This window comes from Homo sapiens, chromosome 14 (assembly GCF_000001405.40).
Source record: "Homo sapiens chromosome 14, GRCh38.p14 Primary Assembly".
In the NCBI taxonomy this organism is placed as follows: domain Eukaryota; kingdom Metazoa; phylum Chordata; class Mammalia; order Primates; family Hominidae; genus Homo; species Homo sapiens.
In genome coordinates, this window is record NC_000014.9 from 72,782,186 (window position 1) to 72,806,277 (window position 24,092).

The following is a 24,092-nucleotide window of genomic DNA, read 5'->3' on the forward strand; positions in this document are numbered from 1 at the left end:
ATGTTGTTCTATAGTCAATTCTCTATACAGCAGCCCAAGTGATTTTTTTTTTTTTTTTTGAAACAAGGTTTTGCTCTGTTGCCCAGGCTGGATTGCAGTGGTGCAGTGGAGGAGTGTAGCCTCCACCTCCCAGATTCAAGCAATCCTCCCACCTCAGCCTCCAGAGTAGCTGGGACTACAGACACACGCCACCACACTTGGCTAATTTTTGTATTTTTTTATAGAGGCAGGGTTTTGCCATGTTGCCCAGCCTGGTCTGGAACTCCGGGGCTCAAGCAGTCAGCCCGTCTCAGTCTCCCAAAGACCTGGGATTACAGGTGTGATCCACTATAACCAGCCCCAGTGATCTTTTAAAAACAGAAATCAGGGCTGGGCACGGTGGCCCACGCCTGTAATCCCAGCACTTTGGGAGGCTGAGGTGGGTGGGTCACGAGGTCAGGAGTTCGAGATCAGCCTGGCCAACACAGTGAAATCCCGTCTCTACTAAAAATACAAAAATTAGCCAGGTGTAATGGCGGACACCTGCAGTCCCAGCTACATGGGAGGCTGAGGCGGGAGAATCACTTGAACCTGGAAGACAGAGGTTGCAGTGAGCCGAGATTGCACCACTGCACTCCAGCCTGGGCGACAGAGCGAGACTCCATCTCAAAGAAAAAAAAAAAGTGGAAATCAGGCCATGGCATTCTCTCCTACTAACACCTCCAATGTCTTCTCACTGCACTCAGAGCAAAATCCAAACTCCTTCCCATGGCTACAGGTCCCCAGGCTGGCTGGGCTCACCTTTCCTGCTTCATCCTGTCCCCTGCCTCCTTCCCCGCTGGGCTCCATCCTCACTGCACTCCTTTCTGTTCCTCTTCTATACTAAGGGTATCTCACCTCAGGACCTTTGCATATGCCATCTCCTCTACCTGGCATGACATGCTTCTCCCAGATCTTCTTGTAGCTGACTGCTCCTCTGAGATGTCTTCTTAGGTTCACCCTATCTGGAAGTAGCCCACCCCACCCCAACCCTGCCCTACCCTTTGCTATCTCATATACTTTATTTTTTTCATAACACCACTATCAAAGTTTTTCTCTTTGCCTACTGATCATCTATACACAACTAAATTGCAAGTGCCACGAGAGCAGCGTCCTTGTCTCATCAGATTCCCAGCCCCCAACGCAAGACTTGGCACATAGGAAATGCTCGACACATATCACTCAACAAAAAAATGAAAGCTCTAGGCCCACCTGCAACTGACAGCTTGAATGATACCGAATCCTGGCCTTGTAGAAGGCTGGAAGTCAGTGCTGGCAGGAGACCCCCAGCACAGGGAATAAGAATCACACAGCTGCCACCACCTGATTCCTGGCCCTTTCTGCCCAACACAACATAAATGACAGCAGGTCAGTGGCACAGTCCACAGTCCACACTCAAATCTTGATCATGGCCACCCACATACCCCAAACCTGGAGAGAGACTGGGGTGAGGTAGATAAACGATGCCATTCAAGACATCAGACATTGCTTTCTATGCCCAAAAGGCACATTCCAGGCCTGATATTGGCACCGGAAACTAGCAGTGCCAGAAGATGGTCTCCAACATACCCATCCCATGTCCCTCAAAGGGCCTCTCTCTGGACTAACCTCTTCTGCATGGTCTTTCCTGCAGAGCTGATCCGTGTCCTCCTGCAGAGCCCTGGGCCCACGGGTGGTGCCAGGGGCAGCGGCAGGATGGGGGTGGGGCTGCTTGACAGGAAATCAATGGGAACTGAAGGTCATCCGGAGGGCGCAGTCTCCCCATCACGCACCTGCTGGCATGGGATTTGTGGTCCTGACCTCGCTTGGGGGCCTCTGCCCTCCTGTCAGAGTTGGTTAAAATCAGCCTGCAGAAGCAAATGTCCTGCACACCAAATGATCTCCAGGCAGCCCTTCTAAGGGACATCCAGCCAAACAAAGAAGCACTGAGTCTCATTTCACCCGCCGCAAAGTTGAGAGTCACCCCAATCTCTCTTGGCAGCCTCCTAGGAAAACTGTCTCAGACCTGCCATTTTTGGAGGCACATACTTGTAAATAGAACAAAGCCAGACTGACCAAGAGGCTGGTTATGTCCCCAAACTTAAGTTGCCTGGTGGTGGAGGAAGTAAAAATACACTGGGAACCAAGATGACTGAAACTGAAATCTTGAGTGCACCCTAGAAATGCCTAAATCTGCCCTCAACACCTCTACATGCCAGGATAACGACAAAGGATACCAAAACCTCTGTACTGCCGGAGGGAAATCTCATTTTCTTCTCATCCCAAAAAATACTGGGGAGCTTGGCTGAATCTAGAATCTGATTTTCCTTCCCCCACTATACTTATTTTCCCAGGTTCCCATTCTCCCTTGCTTCCCAGACCTTTCCCCTCTACCATCTTCTTTCCCAATTCGTCCACCTCATCAAGAGTCATTTATCATACAGGCCAGGAGCAAAGCGGTCAGCCTAAGTCTCCAATTCAAAAGTTGAAAATGGGCCAGGCACAGGGGCTCACGCCTGTAATCCTAACACTTTGGGAGGCCAAGGTGGGAAGACTGCTTGAGACCAGGAGTTCAAGCACCCTGGCCAACTTGGTGAAAAACCGTCTCTACTAAAACTACAAAAATTAGCCAGGCTTGGTAGCAGGTGCCTGTAGTTCCAGCTACTTAGGAGGCTGAGGCAGGAGAATGGCTTGAACCCAGAAGGCGGAGGTTGCAGTGAGCTGAGATCGCACCATTACACTCCAGCCTGGGCAACAAGAGCAAAACACCGCCTCAAAAAAAAAAAAGTTGAAAATGAATATGGTATGAAAATAAAGAAAAGGCCAGGCACAGCAGCTCATGCCTGGAATCCCAGCACTTTGGGAGGCCAAGGCAGGAGAATCACTTGAGGCCAGGAGTTGAATACCAGCCTGGGCAACATAGTGAGATCCCCGTCTCTACAAAAAAATAAAAAATAAAAAAATGTTTTAATGAAGAAGAGACACCCTGGACATATTTACAGAAGGATAACAGGATGCTGGTTATAGTAGCAATAGTGGCATAGCTAATATTTATTGAGCATTTACTATGTGTGCCAGGCACTGTTCTAAGCACTTTACATGTATTATCCCCATACAACTTGTAATTGTATTATTCCCATACAACTCCATGATTTTATACCCACCCCCTCACACACCCCACTTTACAGATTGGCAAACTGAGGCACAGAGAGTCTTACGTGATTTGCTAAGGATCTATGTGGCCTTGTTAATACATTACAGTCTTGCCAGAACCTTACTCTTGGCCACTGCACTGTCAGCCTCTTACAAGGGCGCCATTACCCCCTCACAATGAGTTTTGCCTCCAGAACTAGAATAACCTGAACACTTCCTTTCTTGGAGGCACTAGAACACTTCCTTTCTTGGAGGTTTCTATCAGCATCACCAACTTGCTAGCTAATCTTAGCTATTTCTTTTCTTTGTGCCTCAGTATCCCAAACTGCCAAATAGCCCAGAAATAAACCTTCTTATCACAGAGCCACCTCTCAGTAACTCAAAAAAAGTTAATATGGGGCTTCCTGAAAATATGCCATCAGAGAAATACAAAATGTCATTATGCAGTTTAGAAACCAAATCCATCCCAAATGTGAGCAAGGGGCGATGGACTTGAAGAGGCCCTGTGGTTCTGAACATCAACTAAGGCAGAAAAAGAGAAATGCCAGAAAGTCATAAACTAAAGGGTCAGATTAAAGAATCCCAGAATGTTAGACACTGTCTAGTCTGGTGCCTGGTTTTATTGCAAAGGAAATCAATAACCAGGCCAGGTGCAGTGGCTCACGCCTGTAATGCCAACATTTTGGGAAGCCGAGGCGGGTGGATCACCTGAGGTCAGGAGTTCGAGACTAGCCTGGCCAACTTGGTGAAACTCCATTTCTACTAAAAATACAAAAAATTAGCCAGGCATGGTGGTGCATGCCTGTAGTCCCAGCTACTCAGGAGGCTGAGGCAGGAGAATCGCTTAAACCCGGGAAGCGGAGGTTGCAGTGAGCCGAGATTGTGCCATTGCACTCCAACCTGGGCAACAGAGCGAGACTCCACCTAAAAAAAAAAAAGAAAAAGAAAATCAATAACCACAGAGGTGAGGTGACGTCCTCGGGACATACCGAGGCAGAGCTGGGATCAGATCCTCAGTCCAGACTCCTAGTTCAGGGATTCCTCCATCGTTTATGGCAAGGGTCAACAAACTACAGCCCCTCGGCCAAACATAGCCCAGGACTAATTTTTGTAAATAAAGTTTTATGGGAGGCAAGCCATGCCCATCCGTTTACATATTGTCTGTGGCAGCTTTTGTGCTGAAATGACAGAGTCGAGTAGTTCCAACAGAGACCATGTGGCCTGCAAAGCCTAAAATATTTACCATCTGGACCTTTACAGAAAAAGTTTGCCGACTCCTGGTTTTTAACATAAGCCTTGAATAATGAAAAGCCTCCACCCTCAGAATACAAAATAATAGAATAGGAAACCTAAGAGTCACACAGCTTAAGCAGATAGTTTTACAATTATCTCAGCTTGGTACAACCTAATAAAAACCCATAAATACAGTTAATAATAAGGAAAACAAGCACTAGCTCACCCTACCTATTTAATAATTATTGTTAACTACAGCAAGCAAAACTCATAGCTGAAAATTCGTTTGTTTGCTTTTTTCTAGCCTCCCTTGAAAGCCCTGTTTCATCTAGGAAATGCTGTTGGCCAATGGGCGAAAGGACACATCCTAGAGGCGCACAGCCCTAATTTCCTCCTGTTGAGTTGCAGGCTGCTGCTGAGGCAGCTGAAGACTTGAGAGCATTGCCCTCTCTCCAGAGCGGACTCAGAGAGAGTTGATTTTCTCTGTCAAAGGCGATGGCGCCAAAACCCTCCTGTGCCCCTCACTCCAGATAGAACCCTCAGGAACAGCCAGGCATGGAAGAGACTGTCTTTATGGCTTCCTCTCCCTACTGGGCCTCCATGCCCTGCTTACACCCCTTTCCTCCCCAGAAAGTGATCAGGATATGCACACGGCCCACAGAAGCCCAGCCCACAGCTATGCCATCATTCTATCATCCCATGGAATAGGGAAAAGCGGGTCTGCCCCTGTTAGGCTGATGTGGGAATCAAGAGACCTGGATTCCAGATTGGAGTTGGAACTTAGTCACTTTGGGTTTTTGGCAAATCTCTCAAGCCCTCTGGGCCCAGGTCTCCCACGTCAAATGGAGAGATCGTCTTCACATATTCCAAATGATGGAACACGGGCAGAGCCAAATTAAGGGGTGGGGCAGGCCAACCACGTGGCACCCGGGCTCCAGTCTCTAATCACACTAAGTCATTACCAGGAACATAGAAAGGTTTACTAGTGTCACTCAGGCAGAGAACTTTGAGAAATAGGACCTGGCTTTCATGGAATAGTCCAGTTCGCATCAAGGTCCCACTGTAATGATTATTACACTTTTCCCTCTCAAAAGCGCCCTTGCTTGGCTGATAAATGATAAAGTCACCCTACTAATAAGCTGTTTGTGGTGGGAGTGAGGTGAGACACGTGGCCCAAGGCACGGACAGTAATGGCAATACATGGGCTTCTAAGGAAGACAAGTTCAGTTTGGTCAAGAGGTGGGGTGCAGGTCCGGGGCCAGAACTGAGCTGCTAAGGACAAGAGAGGAGAGGCTGCCTCTGGTGGCCCGGCTTCTCCATTTGCCATGCACACAGCCTTTGCCTCTTCTTTTATTTGTCAAATATTTAGAGAATATTCGCCAAAGTGTGAGCTCCCCAGGAGGCCCACAGGTGCTGGAGAGAAGAGAGGGCTTTGGAGAGTACTGTAAGGTGAAAGAAACCTACCAACAGGTGCCTAACTGCCTGGCCATGCTAAGCGCCTGAGCCCTGGGACAGGGTATGATCCCAGCCCTTCACAGTGCCTGACCCTGACGGGCATGCACTTGGTAAGTGTTCATTCTGGGGACCTGGAACAAGCGAAGCTCAAGCCCTCCTTCTGTTCTTGGAAAACTCCTCCTCCCCATGGCAGCTGCATCTCGACCACCAATCCTACTGGACCACAGGATGCAGGAGGACTACACTGTGTCCTGGATCTCGTCATTACAAGAGCAGGAGGTGAGCACTGAGAAAGATCCAGAAGAACTCATGCAAGCAGAGGCTGTGGTCTGTGGGGAGGAGGGCCGGGCAGGGCAGCGGACCAGAGGAAGAAGCAACAAAGAAGGAAGGGGAAGAGGAGGAGGAGGAGGAGGGGGGCCGCAGAGTCACTGTGGGTGGAGGGAGAGCACCGCCAGCACATGCCCCACAGCCATCAATATCTCTTCGGAGGACAGATTATCTGGGGAATTTATGCTCTCTAATAATTACCTTGCAGAGGGTTCCACTTATCTTACCAGAGGAATCTGCCAGTTGCCAGACACACAGGATTCTAGTCAATTCCATCCACACTGCCCTCCCCCTCTGCCCTCCTCCCCACCTCCCTGGCTCCTGACTTCTGACCTCTGAATTCTAACCTTTCTTTGCCTCTCCAGTCTAGGGGGAGGTTGATGGTGGAAGGGTCACAACAACTTTTAACAGATGTAAAGGCCAACAAAGGGGTTGGTGGGTTGTCCCTTATCAGTAGATATGAGAGTTAACGTCCCAAAGTTGAGGCCAGGCCTGAGGAAGTATAGGCTCTTGCCAAAGACAGTGTGTGAAGGGCCAAGCAATGCTTTGGGGCAGACTGACATGATTATTTTTGTCTTCACCTGATGCCATCAGACCTGGTTAGGATTAATTTTATCTTCTAGTCTTCACATCCCTCCTCAAAGCCTTCCTATCCCCAGTCCAGCCCTCCAGTGAGGCCTCCCTCCAATAATGGTGTGGCTACTTATTCGAAAACCATCACGTGTTGCTTTGGGTTGCTGTGGTTTCTTTAAACGCACGTTGCAGTCCTGGCTGTGAGCTCCTGGAGAACATGGGTACTGCATCCGTACTGAATCAGGACTACCTGAGCAACAGTAACAACATCCAGATGGCCCTGACAGTGGGCGGGACAGTGCCCTCCCTGCTTAGAAACAGGAACCACATTTCATCTCCACAACAACCCTATGAAAGAGATGCTACTACTACCCCTCATTATACAGCTGAGGACCTGGGAGCTCAGACAGCTTCAGTCACAGGCCCACGGTCACTTGGTCAGTGGCCAAGTCAGGATTTGAACCAGGTGGTCTTGTTTCAGAGTCTGGGCTCTTAACCACTCCACACCACGCTGCCTCTGTAGGAGAGGTTTGCTGACTGATTCGGACATTTTGTGTTGTATCTATCCGCTTATTTAAGTCATCCTTTTCTAAAATAATAATTTTTTTTGAGACATGGTCTCGCTCTGTCACTCAGGCTGTGCAGGAGCTCTGTCACTCAGGAGTGCAGTGGCATGGCTCACTGCAGCCTCGATCTTCAGAGCTCAAGCAATTCACCTACTTAGCTACCCCAGTAGCTAGGACTACAGGCATGTGCCACCATTCCCAGCTAATTTTTTTTTCTTTTTTTAAGAGAGATCGTGTCTCACTTTGTTGCCCAGGCTGGTCTCAAACTCCTGGACTCAAGTGATCCACCTGCCTCAGCTTCCCAAAGTGCTGCTGGGATTACAGGCATGAGCCTGGGTGCACCTGGGCTGGTGCTCCTCCTCCTTAGGACTCCACTCACTGCTCCCTCCTCAGGGGGCCTCCCCCAAACTCCTTAGCTCTGGCACTCATTCTTTTTCCATCACTCTGGCACGATGCCAACTATCAAAAATTATTTTATAGGCTAGGTGTGGGTGGCTCATGCCTGTAATCCCAGCACTTTGGGAGGCCAAGGCAGGCAGATTGCTTGAGCCCAGGAGTTCAAGACCAGCCTGGGCAACATAGTGAGACCTCTTCCCTACTTAAAATTAATTAATTGGCCAGGCACAATGGCTCATGCCTGTAATCCTAGCACTTTGGGAGGCCGAGATGGGAGGACTGCTTGAGACCAGGAACTCGAGACCAGCCTGGTCAACAAAGCGAGACCCCATCTCTTAAAAAATAATAATAAATAAAAAATAATTAATTAATGTATATGTTTATTTACTACCTGCTTTTCTCAATAGATATAAAAGCTTCCTGGGAGAAAGACTGGTCTAATTTGTTCACCCCTCTATCACCAGTGCCTAAAGCTGGTCCCTAGCATATAGTAGGCACTATATAAATATGAGTTGGATGAATGAATTGTCTGATGTCCCCACTGAGCATTCCATAATACATGATGGCTACTTAATTGGACACTTTATTTTATGCAAACTCATCTATCTGTTCTTTATTTATTAGACTTTACAGTGTACCAGGCACCTTGCTGAGTAGGTTAGGATTTCACTGTACCCTGATATGAGGTAGAGAATATTGTCTTTATCATTCTCATGTTACAGATGAGGAAACTGAGACTCAGAGGTTACACAGCTTGCCCAAGACCATACAGAAATAGGGTAAGACTTAACCCCCATTCTGTCAGTCCCCCTGAGTCCATGATATTAAGCATTCTGCCTCATTGCCTCTGGCTGGGTCCCCTCAGTAACATGATTCTCTTTACCCCTGAACCTCTAAAATGTCCCCAGCCTTACTTCTCCCCCCTCAAGAGCCCCATCGCCTCTTTCTCTGGCCTCTGTGTGCTGGCTCTCCTCCATTGGTCCCTCCAGATTCTCTCTCTGCCATTCTTTTCCCTGCTGGGTGCTGCGGAAGTCTGTCCTGTATGGTCAGCCATTTGCCCTCTTCCCTCTGCTCCTGGTGGTCTGGGTCAATGGCAGGTGCCGAGAGAGGGAAGAGAGACAGGGGATTTCCTCTCCCCGCCCCTTCCTGCTGTGGAGTGTCTGCATCTGCCCACTGAAGGTCACAGCTCCTGTGGGCCAGCCCTCTTCATACAGCTACCTCTGCAATCTGGTGACCTTCCCCACTCCCCCGACCTAGCCCTAGGCTGCTGCACTAGCCCCCCACCATGTGAGTCCCTGCCCGCAGTTTTGAAACTAGACATGTTACTAAACACTCCTCAGTTTACTTCGTGTGGAGCTGCTGCTTTGCTGGAACCCTGCCTCTCGGACATATGAGTGCTACATGGCCTCTGCCCCTCCCCCAGGTCCCCCACCACTGCCGCTGCCCCCTGGTCACTGCAGCTGCCTCACCAGGCCCTTCTTTGCTGCCAGGGTTTGTTCTCTGTCTCCAAGACCTATAAATAAATGTTGATTTGCTGGCTTGAAGGTTTGCCCTGGCAGCCCCACCAGGGAGAGCAGTGCCCTGGGGAGCCCAGCAAGCCCACAGCAAGCTGTCCTCCCAAGACTAGGAGAAAGCAGAGAGCATCGGGTCCAATGCAGGGGTCCCCTATGCTCGGAGCTTCCCCCTGTGCGGGGTGTTAAGGGACCCCTCAGATGATGTCCTGGTGCCTCAAACAAAGCCGCCATCACAGCTTCAAAATCACAATATCATTTGTTGAGCAACTACTATGTGGCAGGTTCTGGGTTGCCATTTGCATACATTCACTTTCATGTTAAAAGACGAGAAAAACAAGTTCACAGAGGTTAAGGAATTTAACCAAAACCTCAAAACTACTAAGTGGATGAACTGGAATTAGATCCCAGGTCAGCCCAAATCTATAAGGCCTTAATTCCCCACCAGTACATGCTGCCTCATGACCGATCCCTTTGAATGACAGGAGGCCCACAGACTCGAACCTAGTCCAGGCAGGCAGCTCAGAGATGCCAGCCACCCATGGCTGGGAGGAGATCAGGTGGAGCAGGATGACAGTTAGGATAAAGGGCACAGAGGGCTCCATGCTGCCTAGAGTCACTTTGTCCAAGGACCATGGCACAGTTTGGCCATAGTGACTGCTGAGCAGCCAGGGGGCTGGAACATGCCCCCCACCCCCGCCCCCAACCCCGACCCACTGCTCCTTCCTGCAGAGCCAGCCAGGAGCCATCACTCGTCCTTGGGCACACACCAGCATTTCAAGAAAACAAGCCTGCAAGCACAGACCCCTCTGAGTCAGGCCCAGGACTGTCACGAGGAGACTCTGAAGGGGAGGGGAGGGACAGGGTGACACAAAGAGGGGGAAGGCCTCCTGCCGCTGGACCTGGAGCCGACTGTGCTTCCCTAAGTCCTTTCTGCAGCCAAAAGGCACATTCCCTGAGAACACCGCTCAAGATCCAAAGGCTTTCGCTTTTTATTTTTTAGGAAGCAATGGCAAAAAAAGAAAAGAAAAAAAGAAAGAAAAGAAAAGAAAAAGAAATCCACATTTCTAGTGTTGGGAGCGATTCTTGGAGGCAAACACACTCTCTTGCACACACACACCCCACAGCGCTTCCCCCACACAGCCCAAAATAGTCCACACCATGGACTCCTGGAGAACCCGGCTCAGCACAGCCTCCCGACCTTGGTCCACATGACTGCTGGCCAGCTCTCAGTCCCCAGGGTAACAAAGTACTCCAAGGACCCGCAGTAGCAGCGCCTGCTCCTACAGACCATTTCACCCCTCCCAGCGAAGTCCCATCTGCTGTGTCTCGATGGAGCCAGGTCCAGTTAGCAGAGGCCACTTCCAATGACCCAGTGTGGCCCAAATCTCCAGAGCTGACCTGAACCTCTCTCCCTCAACCCCTCCAAATCTTAGATTGCTGCTGCTGCTTCTCCAGGGGAATGGCTCCCACAACATTTTATAGACTGCAAGGAAAATATCCAGAACTGAGACCGTTCTTCAAAATAATAATTTAAAAAAAAAAAACACTGCTGAAACACAGAACTGGGTGTTATCTTAAAATCTCTGCACAAATAGAATTTGAATGCTCTCACTCCAATCAAAATCATTCTCCGTCCCTCCCTTTAAACACTGAAAGTTCAATTCCCCCTAAAGACAGGATTGCAAACATGATTAGGTCCAATTAATTTATGGAGAAACTCAGAATGAAAGGAGAGAAATCAATAGAACTGCCTTGTTCTGATCACTACCGCAAATGAAGTAATAATTTGAAGGAGATCTGGAAAGAAAGGAAACCAAAAGTGTCACACCGCAGCCATTGGCCATTTAACAAGGCAGCATTGCCCCATGTGGACTGGCTGGGTGGAGAAGACCACTCAAGCTTACAAGACACTCCTGGGGACAGAGGGAGGGGAGAGACAGCTGAGGTCACTTGCTTTCTCTTCATTGTACAGCATGAGGCTCACTGGTGGTAAATTCTCCTCTTTCTCACAAAAGCAAGACGTAAAAGAAAGTAAAAGGCAAAAAGCATCCACACAAGCTGCCAGTCTAATAAGGACACTGGTAATCTCCAGGCAGGCCAAGGCCATATGGGCTCCCCCTGCAGCTTCATGCTAAGTTTATCTCCATCCTCACACTCTACCTCCATCTCTCTTCCATATCCAGGAAGGAAAAAAGGAAATTAACAAGCCGGCATCCAACATCCATCCTGAATCACCAGCTGGGCCATGTAGAGCATCCAAAGATGGGGTGGGGAAGCCCCAGGGGAGAGAGAGACATTGACAGATCACCGTCCCCACCTCTCACTTGCCTGCAGCTCCCTTGCATAGATGATGCTGGCAAATTCAACGTGATTTTCATTGGACCTGCCCAGCAGTCCAGATGTGGGAGCCTAATAACAAATAACAATGCCAGCTCCATGTGATCCTTGCACCTTCAAGAGAAAATGCCTTGCTGGCCAGCTGGGTTCTCTGGCCACCCTCCAGCCCACCTTGCTGCTTCTGGATGGAGGTTCGTGAAGCTGCTCCTGGCCTATCCAAATGGCCAGTAAACATTAACATTCATCCAGTCAGGCAACATCCATGGAGTGCCTATTCCATGCCATGCTGCCCCATGTGGGAGGCAGCAAAGCGCTTCAGTGAAAGGCTGGGGCACTGGCATGAGGACACCAGGTTTGAGTCCCAGCTCCTTGCTTACTTGCTGTCTGAGCTGTTGAACTCTGTGAGCTTCACTACCCTCAGCTGCAAAATGGGTATGATAATAAGACCCTTCTCATGGCTTCACTGACAAGAACAAATGAGGTGACCTCACTATGGGTGATCAGTAAATATTAGTGGTTATTACCACAATGTGGGGTCCTACCCTCCACTCATTGCCACCACCAGTGCCAGAAAAAGCCAGCTCATGAGTTAACTCCCAGGCAGTATTATCCACTCCAGGGGCCTCTCTGTCCACACAGATGAGCAGAAGCAGAATGCATGAAAAAATAAAATAGCTCAATGCCATTGCTACAGATTGCCCCACCACCACCATCTCACCAGTCAGCTTCAAGCCAGCGGGGTCAGCAGTCAGAAGCACAGCCAAGAGTGTGGGGATGATTCCGTGACAAACCATCCCCAGCAGCAGAAACCTATCTCACAGCACACATCCTCCCAGAAGTGGGTCAAGGGCATCCATTGCCTTTGTTTAAAGGCACTGGGTCACAAAGGAGGAGGAGCCTTAGCAGGTTGGAACTTTGGGATATTCCACAGGACAGGTAGAAGGGTGCTGTGTTGGTTTTCTATTGCTGCTGAGACAAATTACTACAAACTTTGTAGTTTATGAAAACACAAATGTACGATTTTACGGTTCTAGAGGTCAGAAATCCAAAACGAGTCCTAAGGCTAAAAATCCAGGCATCAGCAGGGCTGTATTCCTTTTGGAAGCTCTAAGGGAGCAGTTTCTTCCTTGACTTTTCCAGTTTCCAGCAGCTGGTGGCCTCTTCCTCCCATGTGTCACTTCTACCTCCACTTCCAATGTCATATCTCCAGCTCTGACTCTGACCGTCCTGTCTCCCTCTTGCAAGGACCCTTGTGATTACACTGGACTCACCCACATAAGCCAGGATAATCTCCTCATCTCAAAGTCCTTAACTTAATCACACCTGCAAAATCCCTCATACCATGTAAGGTAACATATTCATAGGTTCCAAGGATTAGGACATGGACATCTTTGGGGGTAAGGTCACGCTTCTATCTACCAAAGGCGTGTTCTGCTGCTGCTGCAAGGTACACTTGAATACCGTCAAAGCAATGGTGAAGAATTGAAAGAAACGCAGTTATGTCCTAAGCCCAGGAATATTGAAGCTGTCCTCTTTTTGACAAAAAAAAAAAAAAAAAAATATATATATATATATATATATAAGGCAGATGGTGCCTAAGAGCATAGGATTTGGAACCACATCGCTCTGGGTTCAAATCTAAGCTTCACCACCAGTCCCAGCTGAAGCTATTCAAGACCAGAAGCTCATCTGTGTGAACTTCCATTTTCCCAACATTGTAGGGTTGATGTATCCTAAGGAATAAAGAACAAAATGCACGCAGAATCTTTCACACCATGTCTGGCACACAGTGAATGCTTAGTAAATGGCAACTAAGAAATTGCTCGGTACTGTTATTCTATTAGTTTGGTTCTATCAGACCCAGTCACTAAATAAACCAGTTTGACGTGAAGTACTTGGCTATCAGCAAATACTACCAGGCCCTGTCAAGTCCCAGGAATCAGAGGGGCTGTTTGGCCAATGCAGACTGACCCTTTCATGCTGACGTCAGGGAGCCCCAGCAGAGACAACCAAAGATCTAGAGACATGATCAAAATTTCCCTGTCAGGACATGGTCCAGAACCATGGATCTCAGTTTACTTTCCGCAGAAAGAAGAAGAAAAGGTGAAGCCCGCACACTTCTCTCTTCCACAAACTCAGGCCCCATTCCCTTGTACGTCTTTCTCTTATAAACAATTGCACTTTATTTTCAATTGTGTTGTGATAAATTTGAGCTATAGCTTACAGTCAACAATTTCTATCACAAATCTTTCTGCCTTCCAATTCTGTGTATGTACAAACTGAGGCTAGGACCAAAGGAACGAAGACTTTATCTTACATGAATCATTTGATTCCATTACTGAAATCTCTCAGGTGAAGTTAAAATATATATACACTGGGTCTATATTAGAATATATGAGACTTGAATTTGATCTGCTAATTAGCTGGGTGACTTTAAGAAAGTATGTAACTTATCTGAGCATCCCTTTCCCCATCTATAAAAGGAGGCAGAGGCCAGGTGCAGTGGCTCATGCCTGTAATTCCAGAAGGCGGAGGCAGGCAGATCACTTGAGCTCAGGAGTTTGAGACCAGCCTGGACAACATGGCAGAACCCCATCTCTACCAAAAATACAAAAAATTAGCCAGGCATAGTGGCATGGGCCTGTGGTCCCAGCTACTCAGGAGGCTGAGGTGGAAGAATCACTTGAGCCCGGGAGGCGGAGGTTACAATAAGCCAAGATCATGCCACTGCACTCCAGCCTGGGTTACAGAGTGAGATTTATTTATCACTAAATAAATAAATAAATAAATGGAGACAGGAAAATCTGCCTCTTAAGACTACAGCATGGGTTAAATAGCATGTAAAACCTTTGGCATGTTGGATTTCTAGAGCATGTACTATGTCTCAGACACTACAATAAACATTGTATGTGCATTAATTCATTGAATCCTAATAACAACTCTATGAGGTGCTGTTTATTATTCCTATTTTCCTAGAAAGTAGACCTCTTGGGGCCAGGGATAGTTTTTTTCATCTTCAACTCCCAACTCAAATACCCTGTGAGTGGTAAATGCAAGCTACAACTATCATTGTCGATAGTTGAGTCTGGAATCACCGCAGACGATTTTATAAAGATGGACCCCAAGAGGTAGGGAGGTTTAGAGAAAAGGAGGAAGGAGAGTGTGCAGGTCTTCCCAATGGGGTAAGGCGAGGCATGAGGAAGTGACAAGAAATGCCAAGCCAGTAAGAAGACAGGACGAAGCATCGCACCTGGATAGAAGACTAAGTAAAACTACCTTCCTGTGGCTAAGGGGTCTACTAGGATACACTCATTGACTTGCTTTGGCCAACAGAATACAGTGGAAGTTAGATTACACCAGTTCCAAGCTCAGGCCTCAAGAGGCCTTGCAAGCTTCCCTTCTGCTCTCCGGGAACCCTGCCTAGTTGCTTAGCATATGAATACGCTTGGGCTAGCCTGCTGGAGAATGAGCAGACACAGAACACAAACAAGCTATCCTAGATGAAGCTATTCATCTAGGACAAGCTGACTGCAGACACATAGGTTAACCAGCCCAAATCAGAAGAACCAGCTAGCTGAGCCCAAATCGAATTGCCGACCCACGGAATAGTAAGCAAAATAAATGGTTGCTATTTGAAGCCATTAAGCTTTATGGTGTTTTGGTATGCTGCAAAACTAACAGAGGCAGGAGTCAATGTCTCATTCATCTTTATATCTTCAACAGCCAATAAAAGTCCTGGCATGTAATAGTTACACAGTAAACGCTTCATGAATAAAGTATTGAACTGATATATCAATACAGCTGTGAATAAATAAATGTCATATGCTGGAAAACTGAAATCATGTAAGATCGCATAATTCTATTGAGATACTTCAGCTTAAAGAATATTTTTAAATGGGGTTGGCTGCTACCTAATTTTAAAATCCATTTTCTTTTTTCTTCCTAGCCAACATCCTTTTCCACAAAGTTTAGTCAAATAGAAAAGAAAGTTTCACATGAACATACAACGTAGGATGTGGTGATCGAAAACTAGACTGGTTGCTTAGAGATCCGAGTTCTAGACTCAACTCTCCCAATAACTGGGAGACCTTGCTAATTCTCTTAATTACCATTTCTACGTCTATAAAATAGATATTAAAAAATTACCCTTCCCTGTCAACCTCACAGGGTTGTTGTAGCAAATAAGACAGCATGGGAAGGCTCTGAGCACTTTTTACCGTCAATGATTCTACTTCCAGCCAGGCTCAGTGGCTCTTGCCTGTAATCCCAGCACTTTGGGAGTCTGAGGTGGGTGGATCACCTGAGGTCGGGAGTTCAAGACCAGCCTGGCTAAAACGGTGAAACCCTGTCTCCACCAAAAATACAAAAGTAGTTGGGTGTGGTGGCAGGCGCCTGTAATCCCAGCTACTCAGGAGGCTGAGGCAGGAGAATTGATTGAACCCGGGAGGTGGAGGTTGCAGTGAGCCAGGATCGCACCACGGCACTCTAGCCAGGGAAGACAGAGCTAGCCTTCATCTCAAAAAAAAAAAAAAAAAAAAAAAAAAAAAGATTCTACTTCCTCTATAAGCAGAACTTTACTTTTTGATGGTTTCTAGTGTTTTTATAATATATCCTCTTAAGAGCCCCATTTATCCTTTTGCTGTCTTCCTTTTAATATTCTGTATCCCAGTAGCCATATTTTCAACATACATACATACATACATGTATGAAACCAAGATAGGAAATGGTTAAAATTATCCTTGATAGTGGAGAAAACTATTGCTCAATCCAAAGAGAGCTGGTATTTCTGGCACTGAGGATTACATGTGACCAAGGTCAGACATGATACCTGCAAGATGTATCCTCTAGCTCCAGAGTTCCCATGGAGAACTCGGGGTCCCTAGTTGGCTGCAGCAGGGGCTGCCAGCTGCTAAGGATGCAGCCAGATCCCTTTCCCTTTCCAGAGACTTCTGCCCAGTATGGGAAGTCAGAAGCTCCACACTCCAAGTATGGCTCTTCCACAACCTCAGTTCCTGCCTTGGGCCAAGTCTTGAGATCAGTGTAGCTGAGCTCCGAGCCCAGGTCTGGCACTGCTAAATGGAAATCCTTCATCTTGGCAACTCCTTCCACAATGGCAGAACCAGGTTGGAAGTTCACAAGGTGCTCCAGGCATATCAGGGCTTACTGCCCTCTCCTAAAGCTCCCGAAACCTTTGGAAGTCACAGTTCTGGAGTAAACATCAGGTGTCCTCATACCCAAGCATCTCAGGAGTGTGCAGGAGGCAGCAGAAGGTAGCCTGTGTCCTGAGGCAGTGCATTCTCCCCATCCCATGAATGATGGGGCTGGACAGAAGACATCAGGGACAGCAACTCAAACCACTGGGCAGGTGGGGCTGAATGGATGGGCAACACTGGCCGTGCTCAGGGCTCTGGGTCTTCCTTGACAGTGCAATTGTAATACCTCCATCCTTCCATCAACCCATCCTCCCTATGGTGGACATAGGTTGTCTGCCTGCCCAGATACCATTCTACCTCCTTCTAGTAACAATACCTCCATTTTCTACCTCTCCCTCACTATCAGTTGTGTAAAATCAACCCCACTCTACCCTCCAACTTCAGAGACAGGCTTGTGACTAGGCCTGGCCAATAAGAAAACCGGCCATGTTCTAGCCAGCCATGGTGACTCACACCTATAATCCTAGCACTTTGGGAGGCTGAGGAAGGAGGATTATTTGAGGCCAGGAGTTCAAGACCAGCCTGGGTAACATAGTGAGACCTTGTCTCTACAAAAATTGGCCAGGCATGGTGATGCACACCTGTAGTCCCAGCTACTCTAGAGGCTGAGGTAAGAGGATCGCTTGAGCCCAGTGAGCCACGATTGCACCACAGCACTCCAACCTGGGCAACAGAGCAAGATCATATATGTATATATATATATATGAGAAAGAGACCCACATCCCTTAGTGATCCGTTCAAGAGTGATCAGTTCAAGGGTGAAAATGTGGTCTGAGGCAGGCAAATTAGAGTCAATCCTGGAACTTCTGGGGGAAAGAGGCACTTTCTTTCTCTTAGTATGGAAAGGCAGATAACAATATATACCTGAAGCAGCTGGGAGCCACCCATCAAGCAGGCCTGTTTACAAAGGATGCCAATGTAAAGAAAAGTGGAGTTTAGAGATGAAGGAGAGATGGAGGGAGTCAAGAGGACCTTGCTGAGCCCCTAGACCGAGTCACGAGTGAAGAAGATACACTCACGAGCTGTTAGTTACATGAGCCCACACATTCCTCTGTGTGCTTAAGCACTATGAGTTGAGTTTCTTGCCATTTGCAACCTTAAAAAGCCCTGCCTGATGCACATCCCACCATTTGATGTTACCAACAGACTCTAATAAGGCTGAGGAAGAACCCAGGGGCCCCATCCAAATACCTCTAGGCTGCTTGAACTCAAATGCTTTTGAAATAAGGATGGTTCACTGTGGCTGTCAGATGCCACACATCAAACCTGAAAGGAAATTCTAGCCAGGGAATGCTACAGATGGCAGCTCACCACGGCCCCCACCACTCCTTATTGTCTTTGTCAAGCCCATTTCCTCATTTACTTTACCTGCCTGGTCCCTTTAAATACATAAGTTTACCATCCCTTATTAGATGGATAAATAGATAAATGGATGGATGGATGGATGGATGGATGGATGGATGGATGGATGGACGGACACATGGATGGATGCATGGATGCATGGATGGATGGATGGACACATGGATGCATGGATGCTTGGATGGATGGATGGATGCATGGATGGATGGATGGTTGCATGGATGGATGGATGCACAGATGGATGTATGGATGCATGGATGCATGCATGCATGGATGGATGGATGTGTGCATGAATGAATGCATGCATGCACAGATGGATGCATGGATGCACAGATGGATGCATGGATGGATGCATGGATGAACGGATGCATGGATGGATGCATGAATGGACGGATGCATGGAGGAATGGATGGATGGATAGATGCATGGGTGGATGCATGGATGGGTGCATGGGTGGATGCATGAGTGGATGCATGGGTGGATGCAGGGATGGATGCATAGATGGATAGGCAGACAAGCAAGCAGTTATGTAGTTGCAAGTTGAACCTACACACAAATAGGCATGATACAACTAAAGAATTAAAACGGCAGCCCACTGCAGTCAGGGGGCCATCTGACAATATAGGAAAGGAGATAACTATAGGCTTACTTCTGTATGGTTTTGGGTGTCTGGAATAACGGGAGATGACTCTCTGGGTAGCACTCACCCTGTAGTTGTGCTCCTCCCTCTCAAGCCACAGTGGTTAACACCACCTTACCAATAGTGCAGTACAAAGAGAAGCCAGTCCTGGCATTCACAGGTAGCTGTGAAAAGCTGGCCCTAAAAGGCAGTCTCGCTCAATCCCCAGCATCTACTTGGATCTGGGCAGGCAGCCACAGAAACAGAAGAAGCTACAGAGGATGCAGGCACTGGGTTTTGGTGTCTGGACATGGAAGAATTGCAGGCCAATATCCACAAATGTATCCGTGAGGCTCTGGTCTTGAAACAAGGATGTGAGGACCCCAGGATGGCTGGTGAGGGACACTAAGTGGCTCAAAGAACTGAGAAAAAAATAAAAACATAGCAGCAATAGAGACCAGAGTCCGAGCCAGGACAAGGCCTGTCCCTCAGCCACCTGGCTGAAGGCATCATCATGACCTCAAGGAGGTAACTGGTGAGTCATACAGAACCACACTGTGCACTCTTCACCATGGTTTATATGCTCACAGTTCAGGCAATTGCTTAGAAAACTGCATATCGTTCATGCCCCTATGAATCACTTTCCTCCTTTTGTTGTCTTTGTGAAGTCATCACAAAGTTCTGAGTGGAAGAATTCTTCCAGGGACTGCCAAGGAGTGACACTGTAGCCAGGTGGGTTCAGCTCTCACTTTGCTCAGGATATGGGTGTCCAGTGGCGACAGATCAGGAAAATAGCCCCATACTAAATGGTGCCTGGACAAGGCCCATACACACTTGGATATGCTGTCCTGAACACAAGGCACAAGACACAACACGGGAGGACCTTTCATCTCATGTCTCTTACAGCCAGGGACTGAAGGTGTAGGACAGTAGGAGAAAATAGAGTTTCACATAAAACACCCCAAGGACATCAAAGAAGGCTAGCTGCCAAGAGGTAGGAAGAACTAGATTCTTAGGGACTTATCCTTGGGGATTGATACCACCCCTGCCAGGCATCCACCTTTGGGGTGACTCAGAGCCAAGAAAACAAAGGCATGGGATAAGCCATGGAAAACAAATTCCTGCTGAGTAGCAAAGAGAGTGGCACCAACAAGTGGCACCATGTGAGTGACAAGAGCAAGCAAATGCTCACACAGGGACAGCTGGGTGTGCAGGGCCATCACAGCTCCCCCTACCCCCACCACCTGAACACTACGAGACAAATGGGACTCCTGGTTTCTGCCCTCAACATGCTTATATTTGAGAGAGGCCACAGGACCAGCGAGTGCAGAGTCATGGCGAACTGTACACAACCTGGAGTCAGGAGACCCATGTTCTCACCCTGTTCTGTTGCCTCGGGGGCCCTGAAGCCCATCGCTAAGTGTTTTGGGCTCCAGTTTGCTCATCTGTCAAGAGAGAACCCTTCACACAGCTCCTAAGTGCTGTGAGTCCCTGTCTCTCAGACTGGCTAATCTCCAAGGGCCTGCCAGGTCCCACATGCATGCTCTTGAGAGTCACATAGATATCAAAGCTCAAAATTAGCTCCTGGGAGTGGGAGCAAAGCTTCTGAGCCCCCAGCCCCTCCTGTGAGCACATACCTCAAGGCACATGCCCCCAACAGCCCAGAACTGACACATTTTTGATAGTTCCTGAGTACATGGATTTCCAGCCCTGGAAATGTTTGTTTTAACTTACCAGGAGAAAAGAATTTGGATTCTTTTTTAAATATACACAAAGGGAATACATTTGTATATTTTCAGATACAAAGTGGATGGGAAGCAAGGCTAAAGACTGTTCTTTTCCCTTAGCTCATGTGAGTGCTATTCCTCACGGTGAATTCTCCAAAGACCATGAATGGCAGAGATCTTTGATCTCCCTTCTAGCCTGTCTCGATGTGATAGCCTGGACATGGGCAGCTATCACGCCACCCTTCAGAACCTCAGCACTTCAATGACCACATCCTGCCATCATCACCCCCATGGAGGTCCAGGGCCCCTGCCCCACTGCCTACCTCTCCACCTGTGCCCACCTCTCCACCTACCCGCCCCTTGTCACATTGACAGATAAAATACAGGACTCCCAGTTAAATGCAAGTGTCAGATGGAGAACAAATAATATTTTAGTATAACATGTGCCTTCCTAGGCAGCACAACTGAAGCAGGCCCCTTCCAAGGATAGAAAAGTCCTCCTCTCTTCCTAAGTTTGTGTCCATAGAATCTCATCCAGTGGCCTTTCTGTCCCCTGGCTTCAAATGAAACCTGCCACTGCCTCTCTCTCAGGGTGAAGTGTGAAGACCGTGGCTTCCAAGGCCAATAGGCATGGAGGTAGTCATCCCATTCAGACGCCAATGGTTCTTAGTCAAAAAAGCTGCTTATGGCTGGAGTCAAAAACATGTCTAAGCGTGACTATCAGCCCCAGTGCAGAAGAGTCTGGGGAGAGGGAGAAACAAGAAACAGATATTACCACAAAACACTCCAAGGGAAATCTCACTACAAAAAAAGAGGTTGTTGCCTGGTGATGGCTGGCAATGGGCCATGAAAACCTAGTTCTGATTTTTAGATACAAGACACAAGCCCAACGTGTCACCCAGCCTGGATCCCATAGAGGTCACATGGACAAAACAGTACTTGAAGATCTTTGACCTGCCTAGGTGGGCAACTGGAGTGGAAGCTCCACAAGGGTATGAATGCTGTCTTTTGTTTTCCTCATCTCTATGGACTAGTCCATCTAGTCCAGGACTAGCCTCAGAGTGAGCATCCGATGATCGTAGGAAGACTGAATGAATGCGTGAACACATGAATGAATGCCTACATTCTCCAATATGTCCCAGAAAGTGTCAAGAGCTTTGTAACGCAAAAGGCTCTGAACAACTCAAATAAGAAACACAAACATGTGCAGTGAAAGGGCTAGGCCTGGATGGCCTGTGAGGTCATTGGCAATGTGGTGAGCCCTTGAGCCTGTCATACACAGGCAAATAACTTCACTGAAAGAATTTTAAACGCTACCTCCAACACCCTAGCTCAGCATCTATGGTTGAAGCCACCATGCCCAGTCATGGTGATAACCCCAGAAGGGAAGGGTGCAGAGACGCCAAGAAACAAGAACTTGGAGAGGACAATGAGGACCAAATGACTGGGGAAATAAGGGATGAGTGGGTAGGAATCCAAAGAACAGAATAGGAAAAATAACTCAAGATCCAGCACTGCTTTCCAGGACACACACACACACACACACACACACACACACACACACACACACGCAGACAAAGATTCCCCCCTTCCAGATCCACACTGCGTGCCTCCTGCCAGCCCCATCCCATCATCCTGTGACAGTGCTTCTTTGTGGAATAGAACAATAGGTACATTATGCCAACCTATAATTATCCTAGGAGAAGCGATGGCGAAGTCAAGGCATTATGTGAACACTGGAATACTGGATACCACCCCACCAGGAGCAAACAACAACAAAAACAACAACAATCCACAAAATCTCTAACGCAGATAAAGACTGAAAGCTGCCTAAGCCAGTGCCCTTTCACATTCATATGAGGGTGGGATTTTTTCCTTTTCACATGATTATTTAAGCACAAGGCCTTCTTTCATGGAATTGATAGAGTATTGGGGGAAGGGGCTGAGAGGTTGGGTTTGTTTGTGTTTTTGTTTTTTTTCCCAATAAGGAGGCAGAAAGTAGAGGAGGTCGTGAGCACGAGAAAGTGCCACTGCTAGGGTATGACACATAGAGCCCTCAAAGGTAGTTGAATCTGATTCAACTGAGTGAAATCATTTCATTAATAGAGATTCCTTCTCACTACTCCTGTGAAACTACTTTCCAGGGACGTTGGTATAAAATAGGCTGAGTCCTGGGAGGTGTCATGGAAGACAGAGACAAGAAATCAGAATATCTGAATTCTTATATCACAGCCACTAACTAGCTGTTTCCTTGATTTATTCAAGAGGTATGTGTTCCCTATCTGCCACATGCTAGGCATCAAGCTAGCAACAGAAGGAAAAAACAAAGCAGTAGTCACTTTCCTCTCGGAGCTTCAGCTTCCTACTGTGTAAAACGAGGGAGTCCCACAGCCCTGGACACACACACACACACAAACACACAGACACACACACACTTCTAAATACAAGGTGCAGCCCCAGCCTCCCACAGGACCTGCCTATACAGGCCATGACTGAAGAAGGGGGAAACCTGCAGCTTCTAAAACTGCACAGAAGGCTGGGCACAGTGGCTCACACCTGTAATCCCAGCACTTTGGGAGGGCGAGGTGGGCAGATCACCTGAGGTCGGGAGTTTGAGACCAGCCTGACCAACATGGAGAAACCCTGTCTCTACTAAAAATACAAAATTAGCCGGGCATGGTGGCAGGTAACTGTAATCCCAGCTACTCAGGAGGCTGAGGTAGGAGAATCACTTGAACCCAGGAAGCAGAGGTTGCGGTGATCTGAGATCACGCCATTGCACTCCAGCCTGGGCAACAAGAGTGAAACTCTACCTCCAAAAAAAAAAAAACTGCATGGAAGCCCAAACCCCCAGGGCAAATGGAACAGTCACAGCATGCCATGCACGCACAGGGTCAGAGCAAGAGTATGGCCAGGCGCGGTGGCTCACACCTGTAATTCCAGCACTTTGGGAGGCCGAGGTGGGCAGATCACTTCAGGTCAGGAGTTCAAGACCAGCCTGGCCAACAAGGTGAAATCCCGTCTCTACTAAAAATACAAAAATTAGTTGGACATTGTAATGGGCGCCTGTAATCTCAGCTACTTGGGAGGCCTGGGTATTAGAATCGCTTGAACCTGGGAGGCGGAGGTTGCAGTGAGTTGAGATTGTGCCACTGCACTCTACCTGGGTGACAGAGCAAGACTCTGTCTCAAAAATAAATAAATAAAATAACAAAGGTGTGAAAAGTAGGATGGGTGTTTCCTAGCACATCTCTAGTTTCTGAGGGCTCTCTCTAATGGGGACCTTCCTCTTGAATTGTGGTCCCATGGGTTCCACCTCTTCTGGGATCCAGTCAGGGCTTCTTCCTTCATTCTCAGGCACCTTCAGCCTTGAAACTCCTTGGCCTCCTTTCCCTTCACCTTCCTGGTGAAACATAACAGAGGGTCTTCGAGACAATTCCTTTAAATCATCAAAGGGCCTATCTAGCAATGTCTAACTCCATTCCTTAACGTTTACTGAAAAGCTCCTCAAATACATGATCCTCCCCTCTACCCGTTCCCCTCAGCTCTTAGCCATCCTTCCTCAGATGCTACTTTTTCATAGGGACTAATTTCTTCCTTCTTGCCAAATCCAGTGGCCACCC

At 47.8% G+C, this 24,092-nt stretch overlaps 1 protein-coding gene across 4 annotated transcripts in view, besides 1 other annotated feature; it reads right to left on the reverse strand.

The window, feature by feature from the left end:
* DPF3 (double PHD fingers 3) overlaps positions 1-24,092 on the reverse strand; it is a 285,068-nt gene that overhangs the window by 173,152 nt on the left and 87,824 nt on the right. The window lies entirely within an intron of this gene.
* Positions 8,575-9,075: an enhancer, noted in NCBI's record as "H3K4me1 hESC enhancer chr14:73257468-73257968 (GRCh37/hg19 assembly coordinates)". NCBI's record gives its function as "activates a minimal SCP1, AML or CMV promoter by ChIP-STARR-seq in naive H9 embryonic stem cells {active_cell/tissue: H9 hESC(naive)}" and the evidence as "EXISTENCE:reporter gene assay evidence [ECO:0000049][PMID:30033119]".